General features: G+C 50.1%; 1 protein-coding gene across 12 annotated transcripts in view, besides 1 other annotated feature; it reads right to left on the bottom strand.

The window, feature by feature from the left end:
• ITSN1 (intersectin 1) overlaps positions 1-13731 on the bottom strand; it is a 257361-nt gene that overhangs the window by 34394 nt on the left and 209236 nt on the right. For all 12 annotated transcript variants that reach the window (XM_017028428.2, NM_003024.3, XM_017028431.3 and 9 more), the window contains 3 exons: positions 8611-8732; positions 6676-6782; positions 134-317 (listed from right to left, as the gene is read on the bottom strand). In XM_017028428.2, coding sequence (XP_016883917.1) covers positions 134-317; positions 6676-6782; positions 8611-8732 — 413 coding nt within the window. The remainder of the gene's footprint in view (positions 1-133; positions 318-6675; positions 6783-8610; positions 8733-13731) is intronic.
• Positions 7254-7947: an enhancer, noted in NCBI's record as "H3K27ac-H3K4me1 hESC enhancer chr21:35229825-35230518 (GRCh37/hg19 assembly coordinates)". NCBI's record gives its function as "activates a minimal SCP1, AML or CMV promoter by ChIP-STARR-seq in primed H9 embryonic stem cells {active_cell/tissue: H9 hESC(primed)}" and the evidence as "EXISTENCE:reporter gene assay evidence [ECO:0000049][PMID:30033119]".

Here is a 13731-nt window from a genome sequence, read left to right as displayed (position 1 = left end):
TTAGCCAAGACCCTAGGCCCTGTTGGCCTCTAGTGGGAACACTCTTGCAGACTTTTGAATTAGCCCCTCACACATCCAGCTGCCCAAAGATCGCCACTCTGGGGCCCAGTCTCTGCACAGCCTGGCTCCTTACTTTGACGAACTCCTTGAAGTCTGGGGCCTCATCCGTCTTCTGCTGGATCAGGGCAGCCCCGTTGAGCTGGCGGCTGCAGAAGCGGATGTAGGGCTGCATGTGCGGCAGCTGTGCGCTCAGGATGTCTCCAATCATCTTCACAGGCATCTTCTCCCCGGACATCTTCTTGCGGACTCTCAGCGCTCTGCACGGAAACACGGGAGGTGAGCCCCCTGCTTTCACGCTATCTGACAGCACCACAGCACACTTAGGTTGCACAGAAACAGAATGTGTGTGAGGGGCACAGCCTTAAGGGCCACTAAAGGATCTATTTGGGAGACAAGGAATGGAGAAAGAAATGAGTCTAGGGCTACAGAGAGGTAGCACCAGAGCATTTTTCTTTGGCAGAGTGGCTGTTTGTTACAATTTGTTTTTCTTGTGCAGAAATATGGAGTTTTTTTCTTGAACAACTCAAATGGGTCCCCTGTGTCGATGCCTCACTACACAGATTATCGGTGGTGAAAGCCCCAGGTTGATGTGGCCTGAGCACTGATCCTATTTCCAGGAGACACTTCTGCCCAAGGGAAGTTGCTATTGCCAGAGGATGGGGAAGGATGATTTTTGGCTAAAAAGAACATAATTAAGATGGCAAAACAAATGCCTTGGCAAAATAATCCCATGAGATTCAGCAAAAGCCAGGTATAAATGACTGTTTGAAGTATCTCTGTGATTCGCTGCTTCATTGCTAGAGCTGAGTTAACTAAATTAAGAGGAGTTCGGAAAAGAGGTCTATTACTATGATAATGGGCCAATGAACCCAAAAAATGTATATCCTGGAATTCAGGAGAGGTGTTGATGGGACTGGGAAGTGTGTGTTCTGGGGTCTGCCTGCAGTGTGAGTGCTCAGAGCTATGGTAACTAGGACTGTGCTTCCCCTCTCCCAACTTCAACATGTGAACCCTTAACACCAGCATCTGGAAGAAGGGCATGGCACTGAGCTTATACACGGTAAGGACAGCAAGGTACTACATGGCAGGACCACAACATGAAGCCATGGGTGTGTTCAGCTATCCTAGTTAGTGATCATGGGTGGATGGATGGGTAGATGGAACAAAATGGTATAACCTATGACTTTAACACAAGGCTGGGAGGATGTCCCTATTGAATGCCTTTGGCTGCTTTCATGGTCATGTTGGAGAAGCCTTTGAGGTACGGGGCGGGCTATTGAATTCCAAGGAAGCTCTGCAATATTTATATTAGGCTTTAAAAACTTCAGATCACTTTCTTTTCTTTCTCCCACATTTTTGGCTAAAATAAAGTCCCTTGGACCGGGCAAGCCAAGGAGAAAAACTTAGGGACCATAAATGATGTGGTGTGAGCAGTCAGCGATTCCACCTGAAGTGGATGCCCTCATGGGGAGATCAGCACTGGCTGCCTCTGGGGTGTGGGGAGCAGTGGCAGCTTGGTGTCCTCAGGATGGCCCAAAGGCCACTGCCCCATTGAGGGGTTGGTGTGAAATACCACAACGAGCAAAAATGTGCTCAAGGGTGATGACACCAATAATTTGGGGGGATGAGAGCCCTGGATAGCCACGTTATAAACTTGCAATGAATGGAAACAGGAAGAAATTCCATCATTCCATCATTTTCCTATGAGGAGTAGTTTTTTTAACAAGTGAATAAAAAGTACTTTCACCCTTTCCTTCTCCTATTTTGTTTTGTTTTGTTTGAGACAGAGTCTCACTCTGTAGCCCAGGCTGGAGTGCAGTGGTGCAATCCCAGCTCTACAACCTCCACCTCAGTCTCCCGAGTGGCTGGGACTACAGGCACCCGCCACCATGCCCAGCTAATTTTTATTTTTTTAGTAGAGATGGGGTTTCGCCATGTTGGCCAGGCTGGTCTCGAACTGCTGACCTCAAGTGATCCACCCACCTTGGCCTCCCAAAGTGCTGGGATTATAGGCATGAGCCACCGTGCCCGGCCCCGGCCGCTGGCCTGTTTTTTATTAAAGGATGAAGGAGACAAGAAGAAAAGAAAAGAAGAAAGAGCATCTGCAGACAGTGATTGTCTTGAGGAATTAGTTCCTGGGTTCTGCAGACCCACACTTGTAGAACAGAGTTACCCAACCAGCAGACAGGCCTAAAATTAAAGCCTGATTTACTATGGACTAGGCACCTATTAGATTCAGTCATGGGTCTTCGTCCAGGATGGTCTACTGTATAGGCAAAGACTTATGAAGACCGCAAGGTGTTACCAGGCCCAGGGATCATGTGACTCGGCTGCTGCAGCCACAGCCCTAAGAGTACTCTGCTTGCGGTGAGCTGATCGGCAGTCTCCTAGAAAGGTTTACAGATGAGAGGACTTGAACTGCAAAAGGCAATTAACTGGCTAACAAATGTTTCAAAGAGCGCTCAATGATTGCTGAACACATGAGTGTCTGTAACCCTCTGAAGTCTGCAGACCAAGTGGACAGTCATGGAACTAGCATTTATTAATGCTTCCTATGTGTCAAACAGAGTTTTACATATATTATTATCCCCATTTCCTATTGGGGAAACTCAGGCATGCAGAAATTCAGTGACTTGACCCAAGTCTCAGAGCTAATAGGTGACAGAGGTAACCCTGGAACCCAGGTCTGACTCCAGAGCCCATGGTTGGGACCACAGCCTCAGAGGCCCCAACCCACCTCCCGCCACGACTGCCTCCAAGCTGCTCTGGGCACCTGCCCATCTTCCCAGACGCGGCTGCCCTGCTCCCGCCATCTCGCCCTCAAGCCTTTCCCTGCTGGTCCCAGCCTCAGCCTCTGCACTTCCCGCCCTGCTGGACTTCCCACCATCTGCTCCATGCCCTCTCTCCTTCCCTCTTCTCCTTCTCCCAACCCCACATCCTTTTCTTCTTCTTTCTCACCATCTGTCATTACCCCAAACTGATTTTTATTTTTTATTTTTCCTTCATTTTCTGCTTAAACAAGATAAAATGGAATCCATTCTTCTTAAGTTAAAAAGAAGATGAGTCAGATATTTAAGAAAAACACTGTTTTGGGACAAGCTCTTATTTTTTTTTTCTTTTCTTTTTCCATCGAGGGGACAGGAAAGCCTCTTGATAAAAAACAGTTCCCCAAACCTGGGTTGGTCACCCCACCTCACTTCTGCTTCCCTTCTGCTATCATTTTTTTTTTTTTTTTTTTTTTTTGTGACACAGTCTCACTCTGTTGCCCAGGCTGAAGTGCAGTGGCACGATCTTGGTTTACTGCAGCCTCTGCCCCCACCGGGTTCAAGCAATTCTTCTGCCTCAGACTCCTGAGTAGTTTGTATTACAGGCATGCGCCACCACGCACAGCTCTTTTTTTTTTTTTTTTTTTTTTTAGTAGAGATGACGTTTCTTTTTTATTTATTTATTTATTTATTTTTTGAGACGGAGTCTCACTCTGTCGCCCAGGCTGGAGTGCAGTGGTGCGATCTCAGCTCACTGCAAACTCCACCTCCCAGGTTCACACCATTCTCCTGCCTCAGCCTCCCGAGTAGCTGGGACTACAGGCGCCCGCCACCACGCCTGGCTATTTTTTTGTATTTTTAGTAGATGTGGGGTTTCACCGTGTTATCCAGGATGGTCTCAATCTCCTGACCTCATGATCCACCCGCCTCGGCCTCCCAAAGTGCTGGGATAACAGGCATGAGCCACCGCACCCGGCCCTTCTGCCATCATTTCTGACAGCTGTCCTGAGGGTCCTGCTCCAGGCTCTGGATATAAAAAGGTTCTAGACCTGTCTGGCCCTACCTTGTCTATGAAAGGCACATTTCTCAGGTCTCAGCTTCCTCGCAAGAGAGCCAGCCATTTGCTCTAACCCTCAATGAGGCATCATTAGTAGGAAGTCCATGTGTTCCAGTTAGCCCTTTTTATTTTCATGTTATTTATTTATTGTTGACTTGTTTGATAACTGCCCTACCCCCTGCCCCACCCCCCAAATACAAGGACTGTAGGATCAGGAGTAGCAGACATATGGCCGCTCACTGGTGGCACTCCAGGGATTGCTGCCTTAACTTCTTATCCTCAAATGCCTCCCTCTCTCGGCTGCTAGGAGCCCTCGATCTCCCCTCATCACAGTTATTCCTTGGCATGAAGAAATTATGTCTATGCAGCCACCCAAATACAGCACAATGTTTTTTGTCCAGTTTATGATGTGGGTGTTCACTCTACAATTCTTTCAAATTTTCTGTATGTTTGAGATTTTTTCTAGTAAAATGCAGAAAAGAAGAAAAAGAAATCAGGTCCCCAGAAGGCTACGGTTCAACATAAGATTTTATCTGGAGGATGAAGACATGAGCCAGTTAGTCCAAACAAGCTAATCCGGGAATCAGAGGAACGGGGATAGAGAACCTTGGGATGGAGGGAAGCCAGCAGCCCCTGTACACATCAGCCCCCTGATGGACGGCGTGCCCCTGGGACACCTGATTCCCTTGCTCTCAGAATGACCGTGCATGGTAGGCAGGACAAGCACCATGACTGCCACCTTAATGCCCAAAACTAGTTAGAAGGGGCCGGAGCCCAGACAAAAACTTGGGATGTCTGACTTCTGGGCCCATGTTTTTTTCCACGGGGGCAGGACTGGGCGGAGTCTCTATTCCGGGACCTAGGCATCATCCACAGAGCAGCCACCCTACTGTGTGACTTTAGGGAAGTCACTCAGCCTCTCTGAGCTTTGCTGCTTCAGCCGTAACAGGGCTGTCAGTTCCCACCTCCACAACTGTGGAGCAAGTCAGAGCCGACAGGAGGAAGAAGCACGCAGGCCTGGCCCCCCACACAGCTCAAGAAAGAGGCTGCTTCTTCCCAGATGGGGGTTAAAAGACAACAGAGAGGTATGGGGAGCTGAGGCCAGCACCAGTTTCCCTCAGGCCAACCCTGAAGTGGGGGAAGCCCTCTCTAAGGGCTACTTGGGAAGCTCAGAAACATCTCCCGCCTCCCCCAGCCCCCACTGATAGCTGCCCAAGGAAAAAGGTTTTAACTTACAGGTATATTTTCTTTTCTTTTTTTTTTTTTTTTTCTTTTTTTGAGACAGGGTTTCACTCCCGTGGCCCAGGCTGGAGTGCAGTGGTGCGATCTTGGCTTACTACAACCTCTGCCTCCCGGGTTCAAGCGATTCTTCTGCCTCAGCCTCCCTAGTAGCTGGGATTACAGGCACCCACAACCACACCCGGCTACTTTTTGTATTTTTGGTACAGATGGGGTTTCACCATGTTGCCCAGGCTGGTCTCAAACTCCTGACCTCAAGTGATCCACCCACCTTGGCCTCCCAAAGCACTGGGATTACAGGCATGAGCCACTGTGCCCAGCTATCGTCTATGTAGACGAGAACACTGAGGCCCAGGGACCAAAGTGACCTGCCAGAAGACACACAGCCAGAGGCAATAGCGGATGTGAGCCCAAGGGTGTGACACCAGACCTAAGTTCGAAAGGCTTCCACGGCATCGGGTGGCAGGGGGCGCGGGCAACGGAGTCCAGACCTTCTCTAAAAGCCTGCCTGATGTCACCTTGGATCATTCGTCTTCTAGAGCACCAAGCCAGCAGACATTATGTATCTTTCTTCATGTCCACCTCTCCACACCTCCTCTCCATCCCTCCATCCACTCCCAAACACACGCTCAGGAAAGTGGGGACCTGAAATTACCTTATAAGAACAATGCAGAGACCACATTTAGGAAATGGGGACTTCCCAATGACACGGATGAAGATCAGGAATGGACGCAAGGCTCTGGAGCCTGCCCTCCATCCTCGGGCCCAGGAAGTGGGTGGCCCTTCCTCCCAGCAGGGAATATCACGCGCCCTGCAGGCTGTGACTTAATCTGTGTTCTAGCAAGTGATGTTACAATGAGAGCGTGGTGGATACAGATTTTGGTTTTTGACTTTTTTTTTTTTCTAAGAATTGGAAGAGACTTTGTGATGATCGAATCCAACCCTTTCATTTTACAGATGGGGAAACTAAGGCTCAAAAAGGAAAGGCAGTGAGTAAGTCAGAATCCAAACCCAGGTCTCTTGACTCCTGGCCCTGGAGCTGCCTCTGCAAACTAAAGTTGGAAGAAAATACGACCAGCCTAGGGCCAGCTTCCCGGAGTGATCCTGAGGAACTGCTGATGTTAGGCAGTGAACAGTTCCACATTTTTCCATCTGCAGGGCCAAGAATGCCTCAAAAGACCAATAATCCCCCATGGGATCCCGCGTCCGAGGGAAAGCGTAGAGGGGGCAGCCCCACGCCCCAGCATGGAGCCAGCACCATCAGGAGCCAGCGTCGCCCTAGCCCTGGAAATTCACAACCACAGTAATTCACCCAACAGCAGGCTCTGGGGTGCCCAGGAAACCTACTCTTGCAATGAGAGATTCGGAGTGCGTTTCCAGAAAGCACGAAGGCACAAAAGGGTGATGGTGTTTGTGAGTGGCAATGAGAAGAAAAAAAAAAAGCCAGAAAGAAGCACAGGGCAGCATGCAAGAAGGACACACAGACCCACAGAGGTGCGAGTGCATGAGAGCCGAGGAGGCCAAGCCAGGCTGGGGATTAGAGGAGAGGCTTACTTTAGTAGTTTGATATTACACATAATCAGCTCCTTCCAGTTCACAAAAATCATAGCAACCTCTTTTTCTGTCAGCAGCTCAGACTCCATCAGGGGTTTTTGAAAAATCTACAGATGCAGAAAACGAAGCAGTTCAGAAAGCAGTTAGCTTAAAACTCACACACTCACACGCCGATCCGCTGAGAGCAGGGAAAGGGCTCAGGTGTCTGTACCTTGGCTGAGAGGCCCAGAGGTGAACGCCTGCTTTCCTGCAGTTTCTGAAGCAGAGAGCCCCTCCTCTGCCCTGGAAACCGGAGGGGGGTCCCCAGCAGGGCCTGCATTGTTTTACAGGGGAAGGAGGGCAGCTGAAGTCTCCAGGAGACAGGTCTTAACTCCACCAGACAAGCAGGGAGGCCGGTACCAAGTCATGCACGCAGGCTAAGCGGTCTCACCTGCGCACTGGGAGGGGCTGGACCGGTGTGAAAAGCGGGGCTTAAAGGTGCCGGTGGCTGTGGACAGTCCCTTCATCTGCATAGGTAAACCGAGGGCCTTCTGAGAGGAGCAGCCCAGGCGGCAGCTCCTCTAATAAGCCAGTGGCCACCTCGGTGACTGACTCCATCGCTGTGTCCTCAGCCTCCTGGGCTGACCCTGGACAGACCCAGCACTTGCAGGCCCGCTACAAGGGGGTGAGTGCTGCCCTCCTCCTGGGCTCTGGAAAATGAATGAGCCCCTCCAAGCTCTGTGTGGTTGAGCAACTCTCAGTAAATCACAGATCTCAGTGGAACCCCGTGTTCCACTTGCAAGCCCCCGCCTGCAAGGAGGTCATTTTCTCCCACAGGAGGCGCTTCTGAAGGCTCTTTAGGGAAGGGGACAGCCCATCTTCGACATAAACTTGGCTGGGCTGCGGCTGCTCCCTGGGAGTCCTATTCCACAGGAGTCCTTAAGCCGACGTTGAACCCGGCATGTACCAGGGCAACCACATATGGTGGTGCGTTTTGCAGAGTGCAAAAAGGAGCCATATCTAAGGAGTGACACTTGCACCCTGGACATCCTGAACTGCATATTTAATAACAGTCAAACACCTTGAGAAAGGGGCACCTTTTTGAGTTTGCATCAATGCTTCCTAAGTATTAATGGTGGTCCTGCAGCTAACAACCCACCCTGTACTCCTCCAACAGCGGCGAGCCCTGCTGCGTCTTTCCTGGATGTTAAGACTATCAGACAAGATGGTTTCACACCCGTTTGGTGTGGTGGTTGCCAGACTACCACAGCACTCTCCAAACTGCAGGTCCATCTCTGCAAATCCCTGTCTCCCAATATGGCATCTTCCCATGGACGTGGACAAAAGGCCTGCTGAGCAGCAGGAGCGCCGGGCTCCGCATCTCCCCATAGTTCTGGATGAGGTGGCCAGGGCCCTTCTGGGAGGACTGACAAGATGAGGAGGCATCACTCAGGTCAGGGGCTTTTGTGGGGGCCTGGGAGGAAACGTTGCCATTCTCAGTGACAGGTTTGTCTCAGGGTAACATATGGCAGGAATGACTCGAGACAGCAGCCAGATGGCCCCCCATTTCCAGATGCCAACACTGCGGGCCAGGAGGGCGGCGTGGCTGGCTCCATGGCACCTCCTGGTTGGTGGCTGAGCTGCAGCTGCTCTGAGTAGAGCGTGGACTCCAGACTCTCAGTTCACATGACTCCATCCATCAACTGCTCAGGGACTCACTTGCCCTTGGCTAAGTGATCTCTGTCCCTCTGTGGGAATGACTCAATGTTGGCCATGGATAAGCAACGAACCGTCTCTGCGGTCGCAATCTCCTATAGCATTTGCCATCCAGATGCTCCTCAAACATCAGAAAGTTTCTTGGGCTCAGAATCAGGACATAGACCTCCTTGACGGAACCCTCCCCTCTCCCTCCGTCATCGCCCCCTGCCGTGCCCCCTGCCCCACCAGCTCCCTTACCTCTGTGACCAGCTGCAGGTCATTCACATAGTTCTCCTCGGTGACAATGAGCTCGTGGATGTATCCTTGTCGCTTTCTTTCAGTTGGGGTCAACATATCCAAGAGATGTAAGTCTGAACACCCTGGAAAACACAACCATTTGGGAGAACTTAGCACAGTCTGGGGAAGCCCACACAACTTCACACGGAAGATCCTCGTGGCTGCTGGGTCCTGAGGGCTTGCTCCAGTCCAGTGGGGTCATGGGCTGAAATGTGTCCTCCCCAGTAATATGTGGAAGCCCTACCCCCTGGTACCTGTGAACGTTACCTTATTTGGAAATAGTCTTTTCATATATAATCAAATTAAGATAAAGTCATACTCAGGGTTGGGTCCTGACCCTATATGATCAGTGTCCTTATGAGAAGAAGACAGAGACAGACAGGCAGAACCTGGAGTGATGTGTTTCCAAACCAAGACACACCCCGAGCCCTCAGAGTGAGGCTGGCACCTGCCAGCATCTTCCATTTTAGACTTCCGGCCTCCAGGAATGTATGGCAATAAATTCTTATTGTTTTAAGTCCCCCCGTTTGTGGTCGTTTGTTAGGGCACCCTAGAAACTGATACAGGCGGCACACTCCTGCTTCATCAGAAACACGAAAATAATGTGAAAACAAAACACTCAATGACGATTGGCCAAAACTCTGGAGGGCTCACACCATGTCAGGTGGTGAACTGCATTTAATGCTCAAGTATTATACTAGAATTATCCCCATTTCACAGACGAGGACACCGAGGTTTACACAGGTTGACTGGCCCCAGGTCTCTCAGCTTGGAAGTGGTGAAGGCAAGAGCCAAACCCTGAGACTTGGGCTGCAGAGGCTGTGCTCTATCCCCGAGCTCCAGGAGGCCATGGGTTATCCATGTCGAGGTTGGTTTGTGGAGGATGAGGTGGCTGTGCTGAGGCTCTGATGGTCCTGGGGACCAGGCAGATGCAGGGTGCCTCCAGACAGCACTGGGCACACTCTCCTGGACAAAGCTGCTGCCTGGCCCCTGGGGCAGCTGAGCAGCATGCTTGCCACAGAGAGGGTAGTCCTTCCCACTGCAGAGAGCCTGGCACAAGACCATCATGGAGGCCAAGGCTGCCCGACGGGAAGGGCCACTCCACTGCCCTGAGATGGTGCCTGCACTGGAAGTGGGGCTCACTCATGACTCTGCCCACTTAGCTTGTTATTTGGGGTTTTGTTTGAACATTTGAGCCTCCTGCCCCAGACACACTGGAATGAGCAGGAGGGAGGCTTGGTTCTTGGGAGCATCCCATGTGCAGGCCTGGACCCACCTCTCTTTTTTATCAGAGGTTCTTTATTTAATCACAGAAGCCAGACTTGGAAGACAGACCCAGAGGTGTCCCGAATGTAGGTGGGAGAGTCCGGGCTGAATCCCCTTTACTTGTTCTTCCCATCCCTTCTGTTCCCCTCAAGGGGGCACAATGGAGCACAGTGCAAAACCCCCTGCTGGGGACCAGTGGTTGTCAAAGCGTGGTCCCCAGGCTGGCAGCATCAGCGTCACCTAGGAGCTTGCTAGAGATGCCCCGGCTGAAGTGACTCTGGAGTTGGGGGCTGGGTATCTGTGATGTAACAAGCTCTCCAGAGGATTGTTTTTTGGCGCACTAATGTTCAAGAAGCCTGCTCTGGCCTAGCAGGGGTTCCTCGAGTTTCCATCTTCTCTCAAGGGAGTTATCTGGGGTCATGACTGATCTAGCCTATATGCTGAAAGCTTCTGCAAATTGTATGATCCCTCTGGGCCAAATGATATCAGAGATTTCTTGGCAAATGCTTTGCTGCTTTAGAGGTTAACTCTCGGGTTGTGGTGCTTCCAGCCCTTGGTTTTGTCCGTTCTCTGGGCCAATTGTCCTTTCTGGATGCTGTAGCTTCTCTTGCTGGGACAGGAACAACCCAAGACCAGCAGGAGAATGCTGGGAAAGCAGCAGAAATGAGTCATCATTATATCAACACCCTCGACCTCACTCAGAGTCCCCTGCCCTGAGGTCAAGCAGAATTCTCCAGGGCTGCAAGGTGAGCTCGCACTTTTGCACAGGTCTGCAGATGTGTCTGAGCTTGAGCCCTCTGCTCAGCCACGGGTTTGGCCCAACTGTTCTTCCTGCCTCAGGGCATAGATTGTCTTTTATTAAAACAGCTGCACCAACAATGAACTCTCAGGAAGGAGGCAGGCCACGGGGCTCACTCATTCAGTTCAGCCAAGCTGCTGTGTGAGCTTGGGTTTGTGGCAAGCTGAGTGATGTCTCCGAGTTCTTTGACTTTTATTGGGAAGGTCACCCAAGAAACACTCGAGTTTGGGGGGAAACATATCTTGTTCCTGCCCTCTTTTTACCCCACTCTCCTGTGAGTGAGTGAAAGGGCCCGGGCCTCAGGCCATTTCTTGTTGAAGGGCTGAATGCAGCCCCTGCATTAGGCAACTTGGATGCCCTCTCACGGAAGCAGAGTCCCTGGAGCGTTCAGGATGGTCCCTTCTGCAGGGAGATTAGAATATTGACACAGAGTGGTAGCTCTAAAAGTCACTGCACAAACACGGTGCGGTGATGTTTGCAGCTACAGAAACATCAGGCCCGTAGTGGCCACTGGCTGGACCAGTTTTCTGAATGTCCCTTTAAGGATGCCCCACAGTTGCCTTGAAGAATCTGAGGGAAGTTATGGGTTCTTGCTGCAGCGAATACATGTGTACAATGCACACCTTTAGGGCACACTTTCATTGGGTTCACAGGCCCTTTTGAAGACTGTTCATAGATCTTATTCATTCACTGGGCAAATATTTACTGATGTCCTACTATGAGGCTAGGACTAACCACTCTGGGTGCTGGGGATTCAGGACAGAAGAGGAGAGACTCCTGCCCTCCAGGGCATAGCTAAGAACCTGGGGGACTGGTGGTCCTCAGCAGGCGGTGCTACTGCCCCACCCTCCGCTGAAGGTGGTGCTCTTCCCCACCATGTTGAGGTCAGTACTGTCCCCACTCCCCAAAGGCTGAGGTTTGCCCTGCATCCCACTCCAGTCCCAGGGCTGAGAGTGTGTTCTTGGTTGTCATAGTGGAATCTGGCAGGCTGGCCAGGGCTGCTAAATGACCCACAACATGCAGGACACAGAACTGCCCACCCCAAATGCCAATAGACGAGCACCCTGTTGAGAAACACTAGTGTTACTTGAAACTGACAACCCGACCAGAGTTCCAGTCTGCAGCATGGAGGTGCGAGGGACCAGCAGACACGCGTAGAATGATGAGGAATCGGAAAGAAGGACCTATGGGGAAAAGTCCTGGCTTGCTTTGGATTTCAGAAGCTCTTCTGAGTCTTCAAGTTTTACACGGTGCAGGTTGTGAAGAAGCTCAGAGCCAGAGCAACAGCAGAAGGTTCAGGGTAAATTTGGGCCATTTGTCCAAGAATCCCAGGAGCCTGGGGCCAGTTGGGGACAAGCTGGAGGGCTGCTGCGTGGCCTCCTGCTCCAGGTAGCGTTGGCCTCTGGTCCAAACACTTTGCAAGGCCCAAGTCAGAGCTGATGGAGCTTGGAGGTCAGGGGAAGCGCTGGGCAAGTCTGGGCTGCTTGCCCCCACCAAATTCCACCTCTCGCAGGTCCACCTACCACCCTGCCTGGAGACAGGGGGATGGCCCTGATGGCCACTGCAGAACACAATGAAAAGCAAAAGTTTTGTGGGGAGAGTCTTCTTTACATTATGTGCCAATGATGTTGGCTTGGAATCATCTTTTTAGCCATCAAATTGACCCATGGGAGGCTGCTTTAAAACTTGCTGGTGAATGCCAGACCAAGAGAACCATTAAAGATTTGAAATAGGCATTTTGAACTCAAAAATATTCTTCCTTTGAAAATTTAATATTTAGAAAAACAAGTGAGTTTAAAAACTCCATTATTCAAAGTAGGGTAAATGGAAAAGACATTTCAAATAAAAGCGTTTTCTTTAGGGGTGGAGGGACGTGGCCTTTTCCTCTTTTGGGTCCTAGGATAAACATGGTTTCTGGCCCCCTTTCCCAGGGAAAAACGAGAGGAGAAAACACATCAAATGGTTTTCCATGAACATCTTGGTGTGACAGAAGGATTCTCAAAACTAACTGAAATCCACACACAGCTGAAATAATATTGCAAATGACTCCAGGCGGTTACAAATGATCCCCTATTATAGCCCACATAAAATTCCTAATCTGTGTGCCGTCCCTTAGATGTTGCCTAGTTAGACACATTTACGAAATGGAGAGAGATGTGATGGCCTTCTGGAAGGATTTTTTGAGTCTAGGCCCTGGAGAAAATCACGGGGAAAAAAAAACCTTACCAATAAAAGGTCATCTTGCTTCCCTCAACTGATATTTGTATGAACAGCATCATTTCAAGAACTTGTTTTATTACAAAAGTAATACATAAACACATGCTGATTATTAAAATTTCAAGGGCTACAGAGCATTCAGGGTAAAAAGTGCACCTCACCCATCTCCACACCTCCAATTATTCTACCTTTCCCAATGAGAAGCAGAATTTTGAAAACGAAGCCAGCCCCCACAGCAAGTTGCCCATTGAGCAAAGCAAATAAACAGACCTTGTTCCTGTATGAAAGGGGCCAAAATATGCAATAAGGTGGTCCATAAATATTTATTAAGTTCCTCTGAAGTCCAAGAGACGCAGAAATAAGCAAGATACTGTCCTTGTCCTCAGGGAAACTCACAATCTTGGGAGAGACACAACAGGAAAATTAAATTAAAAATATTAATAGCAAGCAGCTGGGCTTGGTGGCTTATGTCTGTAATCCCAGTACTTTGGAAGGCAGAGGTGGGTGGATTGCCTGAGCCCAGGAGTTCATGACCAGCCTGGGCAACATAGTGAGAGACACCCATATCTACAAAAAATTTAAAAAATTATCCATGCATGGTGGTACATGCCTGTAATCCCAGCTACTTGGGAGGCTGAGGCAGGAGGATTACCTGAGCCCAGGAAATAGAGGCTGCAGTGAGCTATGATCGCACCACTGCACTCCAGCCTGGGCAACAGAGCGAGCACCTGTCTCAGGAAAAAAAAAAAAAAAAAAAAGGAAAGAAAAGAAAAGAAAAGAAAAAAAACGAGAAAAAAAAA

The sequence above is a fragment of the Homo sapiens genome, chromosome 21 (genome assembly GCF_000001405.40).
Source record: "Homo sapiens chromosome 21, GRCh38.p14 Primary Assembly".
NCBI classification, from domain to species: Eukaryota; Metazoa; Chordata; class Mammalia; order Primates; family Hominidae; genus Homo; species Homo sapiens.
Note: the sequence above shows the minus strand (reverse complement) of the source record. Positions and strands in the feature narration are given on the sequence as shown.